Source organism: Homo sapiens, chromosome 19 (assembly GCF_000001405.40).
Source record: "Homo sapiens chromosome 19, GRCh38.p14 Primary Assembly".
Taxonomy (NCBI): Eukaryota; Metazoa; Chordata; class Mammalia; order Primates; family Hominidae; genus Homo; species Homo sapiens.
Genome location: NC_000019.10, coordinates 38,514,615 through 38,537,270, shown reverse-complemented (window position 1 = coordinate 38,537,270; position 22,656 = coordinate 38,514,615). Strand labels below are relative to the sequence as shown.

Sequence of the window (22,656 nt, the reverse complement as noted above, 5' to 3'; positions counted from 1 at the left end):
AACCAGAGCAGGCACAGAGGAGGCAGGCGCAGAGGAGGCAGGCGCACACCAATCAGAGTGGATGCCGGAGGCAACCAATTCGGTTGGTGGATGGGAAACGCTGACTGACCAATCTGAGGTCGGGGTGCAGAGAGCAGAGTAGGTGGGAGTGGGGATCACTCCACACCGGGACTGCGAATCTGGGTCTGGAAGTCCGACAATATCCAGCTGGAAAGAGATCTTTACCATGTTCTCTAGCTTCTGCTTCACACATGGGGAAAGTGAAGCTTAGGGAAGGTAAGAGACTTGTTCACAGGCCCATGTATTCTCAGTGGCTGATCTGGGACCTGAATCATGCTCCCCAGACTCCTGATCTCCAGGTTTTGCACTGGCAGGGTGCACCTGCTGAAGGGTCCCTCCCTCCCCTCCACGTCCCAGATCCTCAGCCCCTAGGTGGAGGGGTGGACGGGGTTAGGAGGGGTGGGTGACAGCAGCACAGCACGGGGGTGGGCTGGGGGAATTACCGTTCTGGCGATTGATGACTGGGGCAGCCAACAGGATGGGAGGAGGAAGCAGGAGAAAAGAGAGAAAAAGAGAGGGAGACAGACCGCAAACACACACAATGACAGTCAGGGACAGAGACACAGAAAGACACACAGAGAGAGAGGAACAACCCACAGAGAGAAAGGCAGAGTGATAAGGAGACAGAAGGAAATGGATTAGCAGGGAAGAGGGTAGGAAATGAGGGTAAAAGCAGAGGGAATGAAAGAAGAGGATGGAGAGGGAGAGAGAGAGATGAAGACATAGAGGTAGAAAGGCAGGAGCGAGGATCCGGGTAGAAAGGTTAGACACGTCACAACACGGCAAAGAGGAGACGCGATTAACCCGGATTAGGGACATTAATAAGAGAACAGCAACCAGGGCGTGACATTTGGGGCACGTGGAGGGTGGGGTCCATGTAGTGATGGGTGAGAACACAAGACAGAATGACTTCTGGTGGCGGGGGGGGGCGGAGGTGGGTGGTGGACATGGGGAGGGAGACCCCAGGGGGATGGAGGGGGTGGGACTGGGGGACCACAGCAGAGGGAGGGACCCGAGGGAGCCCTTGGGAACCAGTGTCTTGGAGGAAGGGAGCTCTGGGCAATGGCGGGTGGGGGTGGGGTGGGAGGAATCCCAAAGGAAGATGTCTCAGGGGGTGGGAAGCCCAAGGGAGGGCCTCACCAGTGCCATCCTCATTCACCATGCCCAGCCCCTCGGCCTTGTTCTGTCTCTCAAAGGCATTGAGATCCAGGACGCTGAGGAAAAGAAAGGAAAGATAGGGGGTATGTGATGAAGCCTCTGCCCTCCTCTCTCCCAGGGCCTGGCAGCTCCCCACCATGGTAGCCTGGAGAGCCACAGTAAACCATCTATGCGCTGAAATCAAGAGGAAGCAGAAATGAAGAGTTGGCAGAAGCTAGGACATATGGTTGGGCCAGGATGAACCATGCGCAAGCTGAAATAATGAGGAACCAGAAACCACCCATTTAGCAAAAGCTGCAGAGGGTAGGAAAAATCAGCCGGCAGCAAGAGGTGAATAAAGGCAGACAACAGTAGAGGCAGATTAATTGGGATCATCAGAGAGCTCCTAAATCTCCCACTGCCAAGTTCCCCTTAAATTCTCAAGTTTTTGGTTCCACTGTCTGGAATTCATAATGCAACTCATTCTTCAAGTCTATGACATTTTGCCTCCCTTATTGTTCTACATTAATTCTTATAATAAATTCCCTGTTATTTGAGCGATTCTGAGTGAGTCTCTTTCCCTGGACTGAAAGAGCAGAATCAGAACTGGAAATGGTACCAGGAGTGGGGTGGCAGTGGCACCAAACACAGCTTAACAAGAAGAGGTCCACTCGAACCTACCTGCATGTTTGCATCAGTGCCTGGATACTCTGGAAGAAGCCAACTTCCTTCTTGTCCTTAAGATAATCCAGCATTTTCTGCAGAGGGCGAGGCAGGGGAGGAGAAACTGGGAGTCACACAGGAACCTCTCATCCCTCCTTGCCTTCTTCTGAAGTCCCTTTGCCTCTGTTACCTGCTGGACCTCAGCATTGCCTCCATTGAGGATGGAGATGCCCAGCTTCAGGGTGGAGGACACCATGGCACCTGTCTCTCCTGGAGGGAGTGGGAGAAAAAAGATGGTCCACCCAGTTGGAAGGCAGTGTGTTCCACCCACCAGAAAACAGCCATCCCAAGGGATGTGAGAGAAGGGGATTTAAGAGTGTGCCAAGGTGTGCATGCAGGGGTGATCGTGATTGAAGGATGAGTGAGAAATTGCAAGGCAGGTATACAAGGGGAAGCTGCAAGGGCTGGGGTGTGCGTGCAAACCACAGGCATTGAGGGGCGGCAAATGGGTCCACAGGGAATGGGCGAGCCAGGAGGAGTGAGGTTAGGATGAGTGCACTCGGAAGAGTCCAGTGCACATGTGAGGGGCACCTTTGCAGGCACTGATCATCTGCAGCACCATCTCGGCCGCCCCCCGGGTGTGCAGCCGTGCTTGCTGGTACAAGAGCCTCTGCTTCTCCATCTGTTTCTCCTGGGAAGGGAGGCAGACACATGAAGGCAAGTCCAGGCTTTCCAGCCCAGCCTTTCCCCCTCACATTCTCACTTCTGCCCTCCCTGTTCCAGCCACATCCACAACTCACTCCTTCAACCATGAGCTCCCTCCATCCCCTGGGGCTCACACCCTCGATGTATCTCCTGTACCTAGCACGGGGCTAGGCATTAGGCAAGATCTACATAAATCAGAGCTGGGCATGCAGCAGTCTTAACCTGGGCCCATGGGCCTCCAGGCCATCTGTGAACTTGGATGATGAAAAGTTACATTTTTATGTTTTCCGCCCTCTAACAGAAATGAAGCATTTCCTTCCTATATGGATGAAGCCATAAATCACAGCGATATTAGCAGAACCTGTGGCTTTGTCACCAATAAAAATCACAGATGTGGCTGGGCAAGGTGGCTCACATCTGTAATCCCAGCACTTTGGGAGGCCGAGGCAGGGAGATCACGAGGTCAAGAGGTCAAGACTATCCTGGCTAACACAGTGAAACCCCGCCTCTACTAAAAATACAAAAAATTAGCCAGGCGTGGTGGCATGAGCCTGTAGTCCTAGCTACTTGGGAGGCTGAGGCAGGAGAATTGCTTGAACCCGGGAGGTGGAGGTTGCAGTGAGCTGAGATCACGCCACTGCACTCCATCCAGCCTGGGCGACACAGCGAGACTCTGTCTCAAAAAAAAAAAAAAAAAAAATTACAGATGGTTCCATATCACATTATTATTGCTGTATATTCCATATCACATTATTGTTGCAGAATTAGAACCATTTCCTATTCAAATTCTGCTCTTTTGGTCCAGGAAGAGAGACTCACTCACAATGGCTCAAAGATGTCTTTAAATATCAGTTATGTTCATCACTACTTCTCAATTATAGTAGCTGTTGGATCTACTGCTAGATCTTTTTTTTTTTTTTTTGAGATGGAGTCTCGCCCAGGCTGGAGTGCAATGGCGTGATCTCGGCTCACTGCAACTTCCACCTCGCGGGTTCAAGCGATTCTCCTGCCTCAACCTCCTGAGTAGCTGGGATTACAGGTGCCTGCCACCATGCCCAGCTCATTTTTGTATTTTTAGTAGAGATGGGGTTTCACCATGTTGGCCAGGCTGGTCTTGAACTCCTGGCCTCAGGTGATCCACCCGCCTTGGCCTCCCAAAGTGCTGGAATTACAAGTGTGAGCCACTGCGCCCAGCCTTAGATCTTATTTGATAGATTAACAATGTACAAGTATTACTGGATCACAAATTCATTTTTAAAATATTTTGATAGCTATTCAATACTTGTTTCCTCTGCTATGAATTCATTTTATACATTTAAAAACATGATCCTGAGAAAGTCTTCACCAGATGCCAGAAGGGACTCTGGCACAGAAACAGTGAAGAAAACTATGAAGTAAATGCTTGCTAACTGTCTCAATGAATGAATGGATCGGTGAATTGCATGTTTACTAGCTCTTTCTTGCTGCCTGGCCTTGGCATATACTATTCTCCCTACGTAGAACATTTTTCTCTTTTTCTTCAACTGGCAGGCTCCTTTTATCCTTCTGCTCAGAAGTCCCCTCCTCCGAGAAGCCCTCCCTGATACATTTTCCTGCAGGCTGGGTCAGGCACCTTGTTTGGGCTGCTTTATCCCCCTGAGGTTCCCCCATCTTGGCCCTGACCCCTCTGCCTGTATCCCCATCATCCCAACCCTGACCCCTCTGCCTGAGCCTCCTCAATCCCAGCCCTGACCCCTCTGCCTGAGCCTCCCCAATTCCAGCCCTGACCCCTCTGCCTGAGCTTCCCCCATGACCATGGTGTACACTCCGTGGTGTTAGTTTGGCGGGTGTATCTGTCTCCCCAGTGGACTGACTTGGTCACTGCTGTGTCCCCAGAGCTTTGCTCTGTGAACACATGCTGAATGAATGGGAGATGACTGCAGTCAGGGTCCCCCATCCCTTCCCTCCAGGACCTCCTGAGCCCACCTACCTCAAAGGAGACCTCAACCTCCTCTTCAGCTTCACCGTTCTCCCCTCCCTCCTCCAGGTGGCAGCTCTGGGGAGGGGGCATCAGTTAAGGGATGAACAAAGCAGACCCCTCCATCCCGCCCCAGCCCTTTTTGTGGACAAGCACTGCAGGTGGGGAGAGGGAAATCTGCCCCAGAAGAGGGGGGTAGGGCCTCACCTTTGCCATGATATCAGCATAGGCCATGTACAGGTAATCCTCATCCAGTTTGCTGGGGAAGTAAGCAGGGGAGTGGTCAGGACCCGGTGGAGAGGACCCCCATCTTATAAGAGCTTCTGGGCAGGGTGCGGTGGCTCATGCCTGTAATCCCAACACTCTGGGAGGCTGAGGCAGGCAGATCACTTGAGATCAGGAGTCTGAAACCAACCTAGCCAACATGGTGAAACCCCGTCTCTACTAAAAGTACAAAAAATTAGCCGGGTGTGATGGTGCTTGCCTGTAATCCCAGCTACTCGGGAGGCTGAGGCAGGAGAATTGCTTGAACCCGGGAGGCAGAGGTTGCAGTGAGCTGACATTGCGCCACCGTACTCCAGCCTGGGTGACAGAGCAAGACTCCATCTCAAAAAAAAAAAAAAAAAGAGCTTCTGGTTTTCTTTGGAGGGCCAACCCTCCCCATGTTCAGGCTGTGTGACTCAGGTGGCTGGAGTGGCCATTGCCAGGGTGGCTTGTGACAAATGCATGGCCGATGAGGACTTTTATCTGTGTGGCCATGATGACAGGTAAGAAATGGTCATGTTGTCCATGCTGTCCAGTAAAATCCATTCTGGGAGTTGTTTTGTTTGTTTATTTTGTTCTTGAGACAGGGTCTTGCTCTGTTGGCCAAGCTGGAGTGCAGTGGTGCCATCAAGGCTTACTGCAGCCTCAACCTCCCAGGCTCAAGTGATCTCCCACATCAGCCTCCTGAGTAGTTGGGACTACAGGCACATACCAACACACCTGGCTAATTTTTCCATTTTTTTGTAGAGACAGGGTCTTGCTATGTTGCCCAGGCTGGTCTCAAACTCCTGGCCTCCCAAAGTACTGGAATTACAGGTGTGAGCCACCGCGCCTGGCCCATTCAGTGAGGTTTGCTGGAGCTAATGGTGGAGGCACTCCCTTTCCACTGGGGATGCTAAAATGGAGTGATGGAAGGCTGGAGCTCCCAGAGCCATCTTGCCACCTGTCAGCTCAATAACAAGTATGGCCAATCCCTTTCTGCTTGGGTCTCCTCTACAATGGCCAACACCTGCTGAGTGTTTACACTAACACCATGTCAGTGCCTGTTCTAGGTGCCTTGTATATATTAACAAACTGACCCTCACAGTCATCCAATTGGGTGGGTATGTTAATAGCCCTATTTTATCGGTGGGGGAACTAAGATACAAAGACCCTTCTCGGCTGGGATCACACAGCTTGCGCTGGGACTCAACTTGGATGGCCAAACTCCAGAGCCATCGCTCTCCCACAGGATGCAAAATGGGATGCTCAAATTCTTCATCACCTTGCAGCCCGAGATGGCCTTATGTCAGAATTTCTGGCCAATGAGATCTGTGTGGAAGCTCACCAGAGAGATAAAGAGACCAAAGAAGGCTGGGCGCGGTGGCTCGTGCCTGTAATCCCAGCACTTTGGGAGGCTAAGGTGGGCAGATCACCTGAGGTCAGGAGTTTGAGACCAGCCTGGACAACATGGCGAAACCCTGTCTCTACTAAAAATACAAAAAAAAAAAAAAAAAAGAGAAAGAAAAAAGAAAAATAGCTGGGCATGGTGGCATGCACCTGTAATCCCAGCTACTCGGAAGGCTGAGGCAGGAGAATCGCTTGAACCCGGGAGGTGGAGATTGCAGCGAGCCGAGATTGCGCCATTGCACTCCAGCCTGGGCAACAAGAGCAAAACTCCGTCTCAAAAAAAAAAGAGAGAGAGACCAAAGATCTTGCTGAGGGTGAAGAGTGGGGACCCTTTGTCCTTCTTTCTGCCTGGCATGTGGCTGTGATGCCTAGAAGTGCAGCATCCACCCAGGACTACAGACAAAAGCTAAGAAGGGCAGAGCAGAAAGCTAGAAAGACCCTGGGCCCCTGTCAGTGTCCCTGTGCCACTGCCCAGTCCTGAAGTCTTTAGCTCTTGACTTCACGTTATGTAAGAAAAACAAATCCCTGACAGGCGCGGTGGCTCATGCCTGTAATCCCAACACTTTGGGAGGCTGAGTGGGGAGGATTGCTTGAGTTCAGGAGTTTGAGACCGGCCTGGGCAACATAGTGAGACCCCCATCTCTACCAGAAAAAAAAAAAAAAAATAGCCAGGCATGGAGGCACGTGCCTGTAGTCCCAGCTACTCAGGAGGTTGAGGCAGGAGGATCTCTTGAGCCTGGGGTGATGTGGAGTGGGGGGTCTGAGCTGCAATGAGCTATGATATGACACTGCATTCCAGCCTGGGCAAGAAGAGCAAGATCTTCTCAAAAAATAAAAAAGTAGGCCAGGTGCAGTGGCTCACGCCTGTAGTCCCAGCACTTTGAGAGGCCAAGGCGGGAAGATCACTTGAGGTCAGGAGTTTGAGACAAGCATGGCCAACATGGTGAAAGCCCGTCTCTACTAAAAATACAAAAATTAGCTGGGCGTAGTGGTGGGCGCCTGTAATCCCACTTGCTTGAACCTGGGAGGCGGAGGTTGCAGTGAGCTGAGATTGTGCCACTGCACTCCAGCCTGGGTGACAGAGCGAGACTCCATCTCAAAAATAAATAAATAAATAAATAAACAAAATGAAAAATAAATCCCTGTGCCTTCATTCCCTTATCCACACAAAGGAGATGCAATAATCCGTCTCACAGTGTGGCGGTTAAGTGAGAGGATATAGATATCCCCGCTTAGCTTGGTGCCTGACACATAATAAGCATTTGATGAATGGCTGCCTGCTACTGTCAGCAGCAGCGGCAGCAGCTGCGCCATCTGCATCACAATTATTTATTACTAAGCCTGTCATTAGCCTACATGAAGCTTTTGAGGGAATTACAGAAAACCTCCCCACTACTTCTGTCTGTTGGAAATTTGTCATACATATGGATTTTTTTCATAATATACTGATTTTATTTGAGCAAGACACTTTCTTCTAGAAAAGCCTAGTTAATCTACATTGTCTGTGATACGAACCCCTCAGACATGCCCTTGTGAAGTGTTCAGCCATGCAACGGTGTATGTTGGCTGTGCCTGTCCTAGCAAAGTGACATTTACGTTCCTTTTCTTTTCTTTTTGAGACAGAGTCTCGCTCTGTCGCCCAGGCTGGAGTGCAGTGGTATGATCTCGGCTCACTGCAACCTCCGCCTCCCAGGTTCAAGCGATTCTTCCGCCTCAGCCTCCTGAGTAGATGGGATTACAAGTGCCCACCACCAAGCCTGGCTATTTATTGTATTTTTGTAGAAACGGGGTTTTGCCATATTGGCCAGGCTGGTCTTGAACTCCTGGGCTCAAGTGATTGCCTGCCTCAGCCTCCCAGATTGCTGGGACTACAGGCGTGAGCCACCGTGCCTGACCAGCAAAGTGATATTTAAAGATCCGTCTGTCTTGGGCTCCCCCAGGACCTGGAGGGCCTCTCCTGAGGCACAGGGAAGCTGCTGGGCTGGGGGTGGCCCCAGGACCTTGGGGGCATTTCTGGGGCCCTGGCAAGAGTCTTCACCTCTTTTCCGTCAGGGCAGTGCGGCTGAAGTGCAGGACCAACTGGTGCAGGGGGTCTGGCTTCTTCTCTTCCACCTCTTCCTCCTCCTCCTCCTGCTCCCCAGCTTTCTGGTGGGAGAGGGGAGACTTGGGGAGAGGGTTTCTAGAGTCCCCTCCTGTCACTGCCCCCATGTCCCTGTTGGTCTGGATTTTTTTTTCTCTTTTCCCACATCCTGCGCCCTACTTTGGTTCTACTCAAGCCAGGAGCTGGCATTTCTATACCCCTTGATGTGGAGGGCCGACCCCTGGAGGTGTGCCAAGGGTGGCCTCCGCCCCAGCCCTATCCAGCTCGCCCCCCACTCCCCCAGGCGGGTCCCAGCTCACTGAAAGGTCATCTATCATGCGGTCCTCAAAACTGTGGTCTTCAGTCAGGATCCATGCAGCCTTGTAGCTCTCCAGGAACATGTTACATGCCCGGTGCCTGCAGGGGAGAGGTGTGACGTCACTGGGACGCGCCCTCCTCCGTGCTTCCCGACCTCCCATGCGCCTGCAGCCCCCAACCACCCTCAAGGCCCCATCACGTTGGCCCTCCATTCTCCAGACTCTCCAGCCACCCTTTCTCCGCAGCCCTTCACGCTTCCCTTGTCCCTGGGGGCCTTACGTGGGCAGGTTGTACAGGGGCGTCATACGGAAACAGGCCACGACTGCCCGCCGGCGCTGTTTGGACAAAAGCTTGTGCCACACGGCCTTCTTAGACTTGTAAGGGTGCTCGGTCTGGGGAGGGGATAGCAGGACAGTCACATCCCCAGACCCTGCCCCTCTCACTCCCAGCCCTGGATGAAACTGCCCAGCTGTGTCGAAGTCCATATTCAGGTTAAGACTCACACGGCAGAAGGAAAACCTTGTCTCCACCAACAGAGTCAGGGTCCTGACTCCGCCTCCAGACCTAAGTTTCCATCCTAGGCCAGGTCCCACAGAGCCAGGACCACGAGCCAGGCCACGACCAATTCTACGACCCACCCAAGGCCCTGCCCACAAACTCAACGCATCTCCTCTAGGCCCCACCCCTAGACCTAAAGATCTGCCCCTTCCCTGTCCCGCCCCCAGATGCAAGATTAAGCAGCAGACCCCTCCCCCGATCCATTCTAAGCCTCGCCTTAAACTCGAGGCTCCACCTCCTGCCCTGCCCCAAAACTTAATAGTCATCTCCAGACCCCACCCACATCCTTGAAGCCCCTCCCCCCGCCAGGCTCCGCCCAGAGACCCAGTAGAAAGACCCCTCCGGCCCCACCCACCTGGTCCAGGTAGTAGAGCACGGCTGACACTTCCTGGACTCTGCGCACGATTTTCTCGGGGTCATCGGCGTCCTCCTCGCGACCCGGGACGCCCCGGTACAGAGCCATCTGCCAGCGCAGAGACGGGGAGCCTTCGACCTGAAGGGAGGAAGAAGGAGTGGCCGGCGTGAGGGACCCTTCCCACAGTGTCCGCCGGATGTCCCCTTTCCGTTTTTGGGAGGACTCAATGGGTGAGTGCATGTTGAGGCCTTTCTTCTTCTTCATCTTTTTGTTTTGAGACGGAGCCTCGCCCCATCACCCAGGCTGGAGTGCAGTGGTGCGATCTCAGCTCACTGCAACCTCTGCCTCCTGGGCTCAAGCGATTCTCCTGCTTCAGCCTCCTGAGTAGCCGGGACTACAGGCACCCGCCATCACACCCAGCTAATTTTGTACTTTTAGTAGAGACGGGGTTTCACCACGTTGGCCAGGCTGGTCTCGAACTCCTAACCTCAGGTGATCTGCCCGCCTTGGCCTTCCAAAGTGTTGGGATTACAGGCATGAGCCATTGTGCCCGGCCTAATTGTTGTATTTTTAGTAGAAACATGGTTTCGCCACATTGGCCAGGCTGGTCTCAAACTCCTGACCTTTGAGGTCTTTCTTCAATGCCTGGTCTTTGGTAAATGCTCAAACCTTCACTAATATTGTGGTTACTTTCTGACTTGCTTCTTTTGCTTGCAGAGGAAGGAGGCATACCTTTCCCTGAAGGTGAAGGTTGTTGTGCAGAAATTCCCGGACCTCCTCATCTGTGTCTTTCTGGGGAGACAGAGCCAGGCTGGGTCACTCTGGAGGTCCCATCCTCCTTCCTGACCCACAACCCTTTCCTTCCAGGCCCAGCACCCCAGGAACTGAAGAGGTTTTTCTGGGGTGGGGGTGGGGGTCTGAGAGAAACAAAAGGATGCAGAGGTTGACGGGGTCAGAAGGGGTCCTAGAGGGGCCGGAGGGTCACAGAGTCACCTTGAAGATACAGTAAGGATTCGAGGGGCCTCGTGGAGGTCTGGGAAGAGGCAAAGGGTGACAAGAGGATCTCATCAAAGGTCAAATATGGCCAAAGAGGGATGACTGGGGGGTCAGAGTGGGGCAGGGAGTCTTTGAAGATCAGAAGGGGTCAGCAGAGGTCATGGGGGATCACGTAGGTCAACGGAGTCACTGGTTACACAGGGGCCAAAGGGGGCATCAGCAGGGTGGGGGTTCACTGGGGTTCTAGGACGGGGAGCCCTCAAGGACCAAGGTGAGGGGTCCATGGAGCCCTGGAGGGCTCTCTGGCGTCCTGGCAGGACTCAGCAGTCCTGGGAGGTGCCTGAGGTTCTGAGGGAAGGGGTGTCCTGGTGGTAGCAGGGGAGAAGTCGGTGGTCTTTAGGGGTCCAGGGGGTTAGTAGGTTGTCAGGGTGTTGGTGTGGTCCTGGGGGGAGGGCTATAGGGGTCTTGGGGCAGAATCCTGGGAGGGTTCCTTAGAGTCCCTGAAGCTGGAAAGGATCGGAGAGGAGGGAGATTGTCCTTGTTGTCCCACACAAGGGGTAAGTGGGGTCCCGGGAGGCCTCCTTGATATCCCAGCAAGCTTAAGAGGTTCTACAGCCCGGGTATTTTGGTCTCCAGGACAGTTGAGACCTCAGAGGTTTGGGTACAGTCCCGGGCTTGGGGTTCATGGATCCTGGGGAGTTATGCAGGGTCGCAGGGCTCCCTGAGCCCCTGAGAGTCTTGGGGGCTTAGTTGGGCTTCAACAGGGCCCAGGTGTCAGCAGGGTCCTGAAGGAAAGGGATGGTGAGCCAAGGGCTCAGCAGGAACCCAGAGGTTCAGTCTTGGCAGGGAGGGAAGGAGGGGTCATGAGGGTCTCAGTAGGTCCCAAGGGGCTTGAAGGGGCCTTGGTGGAGGGTTCAGAGGATCTCAGGGGCTCATCTTGTTGGGGGGACTCTCAGGGTCTCAGCAGGTTTGGCATGGTCCGGTGGGGGGGCAGTGGGGTCCTGCAGTCCTCATGCGGGTCCCAGGGGTCCTAGAGCTTTTCTAGGTTTCAGTGAGGGCTCTTAGGTCTGTGGTGCCCTGGCAATATCTTGAACGGGGTCCTCAGGGCATCCCAGGGGCACAGTGAGTCCTCAGCATCCCGGAAAAGAACTCAGTGGGGTCTGAAGGGAAGGCTCCCAGGGACCTGGGGGGCTCAGTGGCATTGTGGTTGTTCCCTAAGGTCCCAGGGGTTCAGTGGGTGCTGGGCGGCATCCTGGAAGGTTCCGAGGACGGGGCTGGGCAGGCACCAGGGCGTAACGGGTCTTGGCCAGCGTGATGAGGTCTTGGTCGGTGGGCGCACACATATTCAGGCCGATGGGCAGCATCTTCTTCAGTGTGGCCACGATCAGTGACGTCTGCACAGAGTACCGGTCCCCCCGGCGCTTCTTCTTGGTGCGTTCCTGGTCCGAGCCACCGGACTGTGGGGACACAGGGCTCAGCACCAGCCCAAGCCCCAATCCCATGCCTCAGCCCCAACCCGCGGCCATCATCCACACCCCAGGCCCCAGTCTGGACACCAGGCACTCCCTCCCCAACTGCCGACGACACCTCAATTTCCACCCCAGACTTGCTGACTCTACACTTCAGGCCCACAGCCATGACCGGAGACCCTCCAGACCCAAGTCCACAACCCAAATTCCCAGTTTCTTGTTTTTTAAACAAATTTATTTTTAGAGATGGTGTCTTGCCATGTTGCCCAGGCTGGACTTGAACTCTTGGCTTCAAGTGATCCTCCTGCCTCAGCCTCCCAAGTAGCTGGGACTACAGGCACATACCACCATGCTTGCCTGGCTCCAATTTCTAACCCAGGCCCATCCAGATTTTCCCCCGTTCTGGGCCTGTCTCAACTTCTAGCAGTCCTCTTCCAGAATCCCCTAGGAACCCCAGTACAATACCCCCTCCACAGCATGCACAACCCCACACTTCACATCCCAAAACCAAGTTCTCAAGAATGAAACAAAGATGCAGGTCCACAAAGAGTTCAAGCGACAAGAGAAGTTGCAAGAAAAAGACACTGAGAGACTGAAAAAGACAAGGAGACAGGAAGACCAAAGATGCAAGAGACATCCAGAAAGATCTGGAAGCAGAGACACAGGGCACAGAGTCCCACAGCCGTGTTCTGGAGCCTTGGGTGCAGACCCGGGGCCAGGGCCACCCCAGTCACGCCAGCGAGAAGCCCTGATGACAAGCTTTTGGGCAGAGCCACATCCACGCCGGCTGGCAACTTTGAGCATGACCCCTGTGCCAGGCACTGCTGCAGGCCACACATGCAGCTTCTCCCTGAGTCCTCGCAGAGCCCTGGGGTGGGGGCTGCTGGCTGGATGCCCTCAGAGGCTCAAAAGGATGACCCCAACCAAGGTCACACGGCTAACTATCAAGACAGGATTCTAACCCCAGTCCATACAGTCCAGAGCCCAAGCTTTAAACCATCCACGGCGAGGGTGCTGCCCCCTCCCCAACCATGCTCCGTGTGCCTCTCCCACCCCCATTACCCTTGACCTCAGCCCACGATGCTTTGGTAAAAGCTGAGAGTTGCTCTTTTTTTCTTTTTTTTTTTTTTTTTGGGAACAAAAGTCCAGAAAAAAAAAAGGAAAGAAGAAAAAGAAAAGAAGTCAAATTGCCAAAAGCTGAGGGTTGGGATGGGAACGGATGGGGGTGGTGGGGAGGGAAGGGAAGGGAAGGAGGATGGGTGGGGGCTGGGAGGGGAGGACGGGGGTGGGGAACAGAAGCAGGGGTTTTCTCGAGGCGGGGGCGTGCAGAGGCTGGGGGAAGAGGGCATTAGCCAAGAGACATGCGGAAGGTCCCAGATGTGGGGCTGACCTGTATATCTCCCGCCTGCTTCACCGGACCGCAGACAGAGACAAGAAGGGTTACCCCAGCCCCGCAGAGAAGCCCAGGCCCAACTCCAAGTTGCCAGCACCCCACCTCCTCTGCCCCACCCGCCATGTATTCTCTAGCTGGGCATTTCCAGGCCTTGGCTCGGGGTGGGGGGTCGTTCTCTGAGACCTGAGAAGGGCAGTGCTGAGAAGGATAGGGAGGAAAGCAGGAAATGGGGTAATGGGGAGAGGAAGAAAGAAATGGAAGAGGGGGAAAATGGGGAGGAGGAGGAGGAGGGAAATGGGAGGAGAGAGAGGCTTGGAGAAGAGGAAAATGGAGAGGAGGGAAATGGGAGGAGGGAGAAGATACAGGAGGAGGAAGGAGACAGAGATGAGAGAAGAGGGAGATGGAGAGGAGGAGGGAGATGGGAGGAGGGAGAAGATACAGGAGGAGGAAGGAGCTGGGGAGGAAGGGAGAGGGAGAGGAGGTAAGAGGGGCTGCTCTGAGGACTGCAGGGATTGCGCCCAGGACGGGCTGGCTGGGTGAGGACAGGCCAGGTAGGAAGTCCTAGAGGGTGCTCCCGCCCTCTCTGCCAAGTGCTCCTCCCAGAACCAAGCCCCGACCTTAGCCATTTTGCTTTTGTTGTCAGCAGTCAGGAAGGACATGTTGTTGATCTCATTCTGGACCACAAAGTTCTGCTCCTCGCGCTTGAAGTTCTGGTGGGGGAAGCAGTGTTGCAGACCGGACAGGTGAAGGCAGGCGCCTGTGGGCTGCGGCTCCTCTGGTTGTGGGGAGGGCGGTTGGGGTGGGCACTCACGTGGGACTTGGACCAGTAGATGAAGATCTCGCCCACCATCCTGAACAGCTCCTCCGCGCTGGGATTCGGCTCCGTCAGCCACTGCGCCCTGGGGTCAGCGGAGGGGAGGTGAGGGAGGGGGTGGGGATCCCAGGGAAGGGGGCTGCCCAGAGAGAGATCTTGGAGGAGGAGATGGGGACCAGGAGACATCCAGTCAGAGGGATGGGGTTTCTAGGGTCATCTGGCCATGCAGATGAACATTAAAAAAATTTTTTTTCTCTGTCTCAGCCTCCCGAGTAGCTGGGACTACAGGGGCCCGACACCACACCGGGCTAATTTTTGTATTTTTAGTAGAGACGGGGTTTCACCATGTTGGGCACGCTGGTCTTGAACTCTTGACCTTACGTGATCCACCCACCTCGGCCTCCCAAAGTGCTGGGATTACAGGTGTAAGCCACTGTGCCCAGCTGAACATTTAAAATTTTTTAACGATCCATTCTCTCTCTCTCTCTCTCTTTCTTTCTTTCTGAGACAGGGTCTCAATCTGTCAGGCTGGAGTACAGTGATGCGATCTCCACTCACTGCAACCTCAACCTCCCAGGCTTAAGTGATCCTCCCACTTCAGCCTCCCTGAGTAGCTGGGACTACAGGTGCACGTCACCATGCCCAGGCCTGGCTAATGTTTTATTTTATTTTTTGTAGGAAGAGGGTCTCCCTAGGTTGTCCAGGCTGGTCTTGAACTCCTGGGCTCAAGAGATCCTCTTTCCCTGACCTCTCAAAGTGCTGGGATTACAGGTGTGAGCCACCTTCCCTGGCCTGACTATTCCTTTTTTAAAAAACTTTGTCTAACCTTTTCATCGAAATACATAAATATAATACATGCATGCAATACATAGACACACATGATACATACATATGTATTATATAACCTACATATTAAGAAATATCAACCTGGTGAATTATCACAAATGAACACACTTGTGTAGCCAGCACCGAAGTCAAGAAATAGGACATTTCTGGTCCCTGGAAGTACTATCATGGCCCCTCCCAGCCACTCCCCCTTCCTCCTCCTGAAAAATCATCCATATTCTAACTTCTAGGCTAAAAACTTTTTAAAATTTTTTCTTTCAGCTGGGCGCAGTGGCTCATGCCTGTAATCCCAGCACTTTGGGAGGCCGAGGCGGGCAGATCACGAGGTCAGGAGATCGAGACCATCCTGGCTAACACGGTGAAACCTCATCTCTACTAAAAAATACAAAAAAATTAGCCGGGTGTGGTGGCAGGCACCTGTGGTCCCAGCTACTCAGGAGGCTGAGGCAGGAGAATGGCGTGAACCCGGGAGGTGGAGCTTGCAGTGAGCAGAGATCGCACCACTGCACCCCAGCCTGGGCGAGACTCCATCTCAAAAAAAAAAAAAAAAATTTTCTTTTTTTCTTTTTTGAGACAGGGTCTCGCTCTGTCGCCCAGGCTGGAGTGCAGTGGTGTGATCTCAGCTCACTGCAACTTCTGCCTCCCAGGTTCCAAGTGATTCTCCTGCCTCAGCCTCCCACTCAGGAGTACTTAGCTGGGACTACAGGTATGCGCCACCACGCCCGGCTAATTTTTGTATTTTCAGTAGAGACAGGGTTTTTGCATGTTGCCCAGGCTGGTCTCAAACTTCTGAGTTTGAGACTGAGTTTGAGTGATCCACTCTCTTTGGCCACCCAAAGTGCTGGGATTACAGTCACGAGCCACTGCACCCAGCATAAAATTTCTTTTTTTTTTGAGACAGGGTCAGAATCTAAGTAGGTTCACATATTTTATTTTATTCATTTACTTGTATTAAAAAAAAACAAACCTTATTGAGACAGGGTCTATCTCTGTTGCCCAGGTTGGAGTGCAGCGGTGTGATCATAGCTCACTGCAGCTTTGACCTCCTGGGCTCAAACGATCCTCCCACCTCAGCCTCCCAGTCCCAGCCTGAGGCAAGGACTACAGGTGTGTGTCACCATGCCTGACTAATTTTTGTATTTCTTTTCTTTTTTTGTAGAGACAGGGTCTAGCCATGTTGCCTAGGCTGGTCTCAAATTCCTGAGCTCAAGTGATCCTCCCGCCTCAGTCTCTCAAAGTGCTGGGATTACAGTTGTAAGCCACTGCACCCGGCCCCAAACTTATTCTTATCTGCTCGTGAACATTAAACAGATGGTAAAATATGTAGTTTATTTCTTGGTTTTCTGGCTTCTTTCATTCCACCTAACATTTGTGAAAGCCAATCACATTGTGCATAGAAACAACTTGTTCACTCCCACTGCCGTGGAGTCTTCTGTTGTATGAATAAACCACAATTTGTTCATATTTACTGATTGAAAAATTGAACTATATCCAACAGCAGAGAATGTCACACGACCACCAAGACAAAAGAGGTGAATCTATACATCTTTTTTTTTTTTTTTTTTTTTTTTTTGAGGTGGAGCCTCGCTCTGTTCCTAGGCTGGAGTGCAGTGACACGATCTCAGCTCAGTGCAACCTCTGCCTCCCAGGCTCAGGCGATTCTCCTGCTTCAGCCTCTGGAGTAGCTGGGATTTCAAGCCTGCGTCACTACGCCTGGCTAATTTTTGTATTCATAATAGAGACAGGGTTTCGCCACGTTGGCCAGGCTGGTCTCAAACACCTGACCTCAGGTGATCTGCCCACCTCGGCCTCCCAAAGTGCTGGGATTACAGGCATGAGCCACCACACCCGGCCTATATGTCTTTCATGGTGTATTGTTGTGTTAAAAAAAAAAAAAAAGCAGCTAAGTGTGGTGGCTCACTTCTGTAATCCCAACACTTTGGGAGGCTGAGGTGGGAGGATCACTTGACCCCGGGAATTCAAGACCAACCTGGGCAACATAGTGAGACCCCATAAAAATACAAGAATTAGCCGAGCATGTTGGTGTGAGTCTATAATCCCAGCTACTCAGGGGCAGAAGCAGAGGATCGCTTGAACCCAGGAACCGAGGCTGCAGCAAGCCATGATCATGCCACAGCACTCCAGCCTGGGCAACAGAGAGAGACCCTGTCTCAATAAAAAAAAAAAAAAAAAAAGCAAACTATTCCTTACGGTGTTGTGCATAGTGACAAAGAAATCGACACAATCTAAATGTCCAGCATTAGGAGAATGATTTAAAAAAAATCACACTGGCCAGCTGCATTGGCTCACAGCTGTAATCCCAGCACTTTGGGAGGCCGAGGCAGGCAAATCATGAGGTCAAGAGTTCAAGACCAGCCTGGCCAACATGGTGAAAATCTGTCTCTACTAAAAATACGAAACTTAGCTGGGCGTGGTGGCATGCACCTGTAATCCTAGCTACTGGGAAGGCTGAGGCAGGAGAATCACTTGAACCCGGGAGGTGGAGGTTACAGTGAGCCGAGATCGCGCCACTGCATTCCAGCCTGGGCAATAAAGCGAGGCTCTGTCTCCAAAAACAAAAACAAACAAAAAAAAACCCAAAAACCAAAAACAAAAAGAAACAAACAAGTGGGCTGGCTGTCGTTGGACCAATGTGCTCAAAGCCAGAAGAAACCAGGAGGAAGAGTCAGAAGGTTGGTGGGGCCAGAGCATTGGAAGAAGTTTCTAGCCAGTCAGGAGGCGGAGATCAGATGGGGCTGGAGGACGTGGGAGGTCGGGGCGGAGGGCATGGGGACAGCGGGGCCCCGCTGACCTGTTGTTGTCCACGTAGCGGATGAGCAGCGGATACAGGGCGTAGAGGTCCCGGCAGAGCACAGAGAACTCGTCCCGCACCAGCAGCTCGCCCTCCTGGGCCTCCGCCTTGGCCTCCAGGCGCAGCTGCTCCTCCTCGGACACCACCTTCCCTGCCCTCTTGCGCAGCCGCCCGATAGTTGGGATGAAGTGGGACTGCAGGAGCTCCGGCCGTGCACGGCTCACAATGGGCTGTGCGAACACTGCAGGGGTGCGATGGGCTCTGATGCCACCTCCGGCCTCTGACACAGGCCCCAAACTCCGTTCCCAGCCCGACTCCCAAACAGCATCTCCAACCTAGCAGCTGCCATTTGACCCCAGCCTGACCCTAACCTTGGATATAGTCCCTGAACACTGATCCCAGCCATAGCCCCTAACCTGAACCTAAGACCCAGTCCCTATCCTGTGACCCCAGCCTGGCACAAATCCCTGACCTCTGACCCCCAACAACAGACGCCTCACCTGTTACCTAACTTTTTTTTTTTTTTTGAGACAGAGTTTCACTCTTGTCACCCAGACTGGAGTGCAATGGCGCAATCTTGGCTCACTGCAACCTCTGCCTCCCGAGTTCAAGCGATTTTCCTGCCTCAGCCCCGAGTAGCTGGGATTACAGGCGTCTGCCACCACACCCAGCTAACTTTTGTATTTTTGGTAGAGATGGGGTTTCACCATGTTGGCCAGGCTGGTCTCGAACTCCTGACCTCAGGAGATCCACCCGCCTCGGCCTCCCATAGTGCTGGGATTACAGGCGTGAGCCACTGCACCTGGCCTGTTACCTCACCCTTAACTAGCATGACCCCTGACCCCAATCTTTAACCTCTGACCTGGCCCATACCCAGAGTCTTACCTCACTATGTGATTTCTGGCTATGACCCCAAGGTTGTGAATGGGCTTCTTACCCCAGCCTCTGGCCCCTTACCCTGGCCTCTGATCCCAGCTCCTGATTTCTAGGTTGACCCTGATCTACAACCTGTTTCCTTACACAAATATTTCTTTTTTTTTTTTTTTTTTTTTTAAATAATAGAGACGAGGTTTCACCATGTTGCCCAGGCTAGTCTTGAACTCCTGGTCTCAAGTGATCCACCCACCTTGGCCTCTCAAAGTGCTGGGATTACAGGCATGAGCCATTGTGCCTGGCCCTGACATGAAACTTCTGAATCAGGAAACCTAACGCTTTGAGGATCCATTTCTTCCTTCCTTCCTTCCTGCCTTCCTTCCTTCTTTCCTTCCCTTTTATTCCCTCCCTCTCTCACTCCATCCTTCCTTCTTTCTTTCCTTTTGTTTTGTTTGTTTGTTTTGAGAGAGTATCTCACTCTGTCACCCAGGCTGGAGTACAGTGGTGCAATCACAGCTCACTGCAGCCTCCAACTCCTGGGCTCAAGAGATCCTCCTGCCTCAGCCTCCCAAGTAGCTGGGACTATAAGCATGTGCCACCACACCTGGCTAATTAAAAAAAAGTTTTGTTTTGTTTTTTAAAGAGATGGGGTCGTGCTATGTTACCTAGGCTGGTCGCAAATGGCTGGCCTCAACTGATCCTCCCAAAGTGTTGGTGTTACAGCTGTGAGCCACGGTGCCCAGCTGACCCCTGGTCTTTTGATGCTGAAAAAACCTACACTCTGACTCCTCCCAACTCCGAGGGGACCATGGGTCTCCCTTTCAGACCATCTGCCAAGGGAGCCCAGGCTGCTGACCCACCCCTCAGAGGCCCAGTGCCCCCCGACCCACCAGCCAGCCGCTTCATCCAGGAGGCCTCGTCAATGCCCAGGTTGTTGACGATGATTCTCAGGATATTCCCCAGCAGGGAGTTGAGGTGGTCAGAGGTGACAGCTGTGCAGGGTGGGGGGGCGCCGGCGGGCAGGGCGGAAGGGGGTGCCTCGGGCCCGCGCTCCCACCATCGGGGCAGGTAGCTGCATAGCATGGGCAGCGTGATCTCGATGACATGCGGCATCTCTGTGTAGCGGGCACCTGACTCGGCCAGCCCCCCAATGTCTGCCATGAGCCGCTCCAGCACCGGGATGTCGGGACACATCTCCTCCACACTGTTGGGGAGCCCCAGGACTGGGGTACAGGGACGGGGGCAGGGAATGTCAAGCCATCACCCCCAGACCTCAGTGCCCTGGCCTCCCCCGCAATACATCAGACACCATTGAATTGCCACCCCCCTTAAACAGTCTCCCAAACCCTATTCTTCCCATCTCACCCTCCAACCCAACTACCTCTCCCAACCCTCACATTGAAACTCAGTGGCCCCGCAAACACTTCACACCCCCGAGCCTGTCTGCTCCCTAAAATCTCACCCCTAGAAACCTTCCCTCCTAAAATCTCCCACATCCCAAGCCCATTCCCCTCACCCCTGCTGTACAGCATACTCCAAAAGAGACCTTTTCCAACCCCACCCTGTCTCCCCGCCTTGTCTCTCTGAATCCCACACCCGGTTCAGTCCCTTGAAACCGACAACCTGTCACTTGCTCACTTGCTGACTCTGGGCCAGGTGCCATTCTGGGAGAACAGCTGACCAAGAAGACAAGTTTCCTGCCTTGGAGCGTATATTTCCCCCAGGTCCACACCTCATTCTAGCCTCTGGACCCAGGACTCAGGGGATTTTTGTCTGTTTTATCTGTTCACTGCTGAACCTCAGGTGACTAGGACAGCGCCTCATACATAGTAACTGCTCGATACATATTTGCTGAATGAATGAATGAACCCTGCCTTCCCTCAATCCTCTTATGCTCAAATACCCCTCACCCTATGTCTCCAAGCTTGATGATGCCCTCAAATGTCACCATCACTAAAATAAATTCCATAGCTCCAAATTCCATGGATGGGGTTTTGCTATGTTGCCCAGGTTGGTCTTGAACTCCTGGACTCAAGCAATCCTCCTACCTTGGCCTCCCAAAGTACTGGGATTACAGGCGTGACCCACTGCGCCTGGCCACCAAGTGCTACTTTTCTTAACTTTTATCAATAGATTCTGTTTTCAAAAATCAAATTAATCTCTAAATTCTCCCCATGTAACGGCCTTGAAATGCCCCCGAACCATAAACTCTGGGGTTCCTGAATGTGTGGCACTCCCAACCTGGGGAATCCTCAGCCGCTCACAGCCCAGCCCAGCCACACTACCCCCAAATTAGGGTCTCCCCAAGGCCCTGTGCTGGGGAGATTTGGACTCCCAGCACTGCTCCCGCCCCACACAGCTTACTGGCCCGCTCCCGCGGAGACTTGGTGGTGTACACGGAGCAGGCGTTGTACTCGTTCAGCTGCGGCTCCAGGAACGCCACCGGCATGGCTGCTGCCAGACGGGCCAGGCACTCCCCGAGGGCTGGCCGAAGCCTGGAAGACGGGGCTGTGTTTAGCTGCCACGTGTCCCCCTCTTTGGGGTCCTGGGTCCCAGCCCCATCTCCATAGAAACGGCTCCTCCCAGAACCCTTTGGGACAGAGCTGCCATTCATCCATGTGTGCCACTTGTTTTGTTTTTTAAGACAGGGTCTCGCTCTGTTACTCAGGCTGCAGTGCAGTGGCCTGATCTTGGCTCACAGCAACCTCACATTCCTGGGTTCAAGTGATCCTCCCACCTCAGCCTCCTGAGTCGCTGGGATTACAGGCACACACCATACCATGCCTAGCTAGTTTTAAAAAAAGTCGTTTTTGTAGAGATGCAGTCTCCCTATGCTGCTCAGGCTGGAGCTCAAGCGATCCCCCCATCTCAGCCTTAGGAGTAGGTGGATTTACAGGCACCAGCGCCACTACACCACACCACACCAGGCTAATTAAAAAAAATTTTTTTTTGTAGAGATGGAGTCTCACTATGTTGCCCAGGCTGGTCTCAAACTCCTGAGCTCAAGTGATCTTCCCGCCTCAGCCTCCCAAAGTGCTCACAGGTGTGAGCCACCGCGCACCGCTGGTGTCACTTGAAATCTGAATAACTTCAGAGCTGGTGGAAACAGCCGCAGCCTCGCTCTTGCTGTATCAGTAATCTCAGCTCAGAAGCGGTCACATGGCCACTGCCAGGGGCCCTCCCCAGTGACCCCAGTGTTGCGTGGCTCCTGTGTGCAGCCCCCGTGGTCTGCGCCTCCCTTTCTTCCCCAGCGAGGCCTGCCTGCTTCACAGCCCCAGACCTGGCGGCTCTACCTCCGTGGCTGACCTGTCCCTGAGCGCCCTCACGCGGCCGCCGTGGGGAACCGCGGCTGCCGCCGTGTGCGGGAAAATTCTTAACATCTACCCTGCTTTTCACCCACCCCATCTTCTTCCCCTGCTCCCTCCCTTCCCCTCCAGCCCCACCCAGCCCCAAACGATGGCTCCCTCTCCTTACTTTTCCACATAAGTGTTCTTGGTGGTTCCCAGGGAGTAGATACTGCACAGCGTTCGGTAGCAAGAGACCTGGACGTCGTCCACTGAGGGAGACAGGGGGCGAGGCTGCGGCATGCGCTCACAAGACAAGCCCTCCCCACCCCACCTCCCTTGTCTCAAATAGGCCCATGCAGTGGGGAAGAGCAAGCAGATGTACAGCCAGCCTTCCATGTACGAGTCTTGTGACTTGAGCAAGTTACCAACTCTCTCTCAGCCTCAGCTTCCCTACCTGTAACATGGGGATAGTTATAGTACCTTCCTCACGGGGTGGTCGTGAGTATCAAATGAGTTACTACTTGGAAAGCCACTAGAACGGGGCACACAGTAGGCACTCAATAAAGGCTAGATGTTGTTTCTTCCGTGGAGAGGACTCATGGCCCTCTATAATGAAAGTGAGGGGTACTTCCTCCAGAAAAATGCAAACAGAACTGCAATATTGCTGCAATTTTAGGCTA

At 53.3% G+C, this 22,656-nt stretch overlaps 1 protein-coding gene and 1 long non-coding RNA gene across 6 annotated transcripts in view; one reads left to right on the top strand and one right to left on the bottom strand.

Moving 5' to 3' along the window:
* RYR1 (ryanodine receptor 1) overlaps positions 1-22,656 on the bottom strand; it is a 153,874-nt gene that overhangs the window by 50,294 nt on the left and 80,924 nt on the right. For 2 of the 5 annotated variants that reach the window (NM_000540.3, XM_011527205.3), the window contains exons 64-83: positions 22,164-22,245; positions 21,054-21,184; positions 19,580-19,912; positions 17,817-18,057; positions 14,156-14,243; positions 13,962-14,054; positions 13,342-13,356; positions 11,769-11,939; positions 10,219-10,278; positions 9,487-9,624; positions 8,853-8,965; positions 8,576-8,672; positions 8,214-8,320; positions 4,730-4,781; positions 4,535-4,600; positions 2,452-2,551; positions 2,051-2,130; positions 1,879-1,955; positions 1,201-1,274; positions 504-521 (exon numbers count right to left, since the gene is read on the bottom strand). In NM_000540.3, the coding sequence (NP_000531.2) occupies positions 504-521; positions 1,201-1,274; positions 1,879-1,955; positions 2,051-2,130; positions 2,452-2,551; positions 4,535-4,600; positions 4,730-4,781; positions 8,214-8,320; positions 8,576-8,672; positions 8,853-8,965; positions 9,487-9,624; positions 10,219-10,278; positions 11,769-11,939; positions 13,342-13,356; positions 13,962-14,054; positions 14,156-14,243; positions 17,817-18,057; positions 19,580-19,912; positions 21,054-21,184; positions 22,164-22,245 (2,136 nt within the window). The remainder of the gene's footprint in view (positions 1-503; positions 522-1,200; positions 1,275-1,878; positions 1,956-2,050; positions 2,131-2,451; positions 2,552-4,534; positions 4,601-4,729; positions 4,782-8,213; positions 8,321-8,575; positions 8,673-8,852; positions 8,966-9,486; positions 9,625-10,218; positions 10,279-11,768; positions 11,940-13,341; positions 13,357-13,961; positions 14,055-14,155; positions 14,244-17,816; positions 18,058-19,579; positions 19,913-21,053; positions 21,185-22,163; positions 22,246-22,656) is intronic. The other 3 variants (XM_006723317.3, NM_001042723.2, XM_006723319.3) reach the window with 3 other exon arrangements.
* Positions 158-1,758, top strand: LOC124904710 (uncharacterized). The gene is made up of 2 exons (XR_007067250.1): positions 158-276; positions 1,337-1,758. It is a non-coding gene; the product is annotated as an uncharacterized LOC124904710 (long non-coding RNA).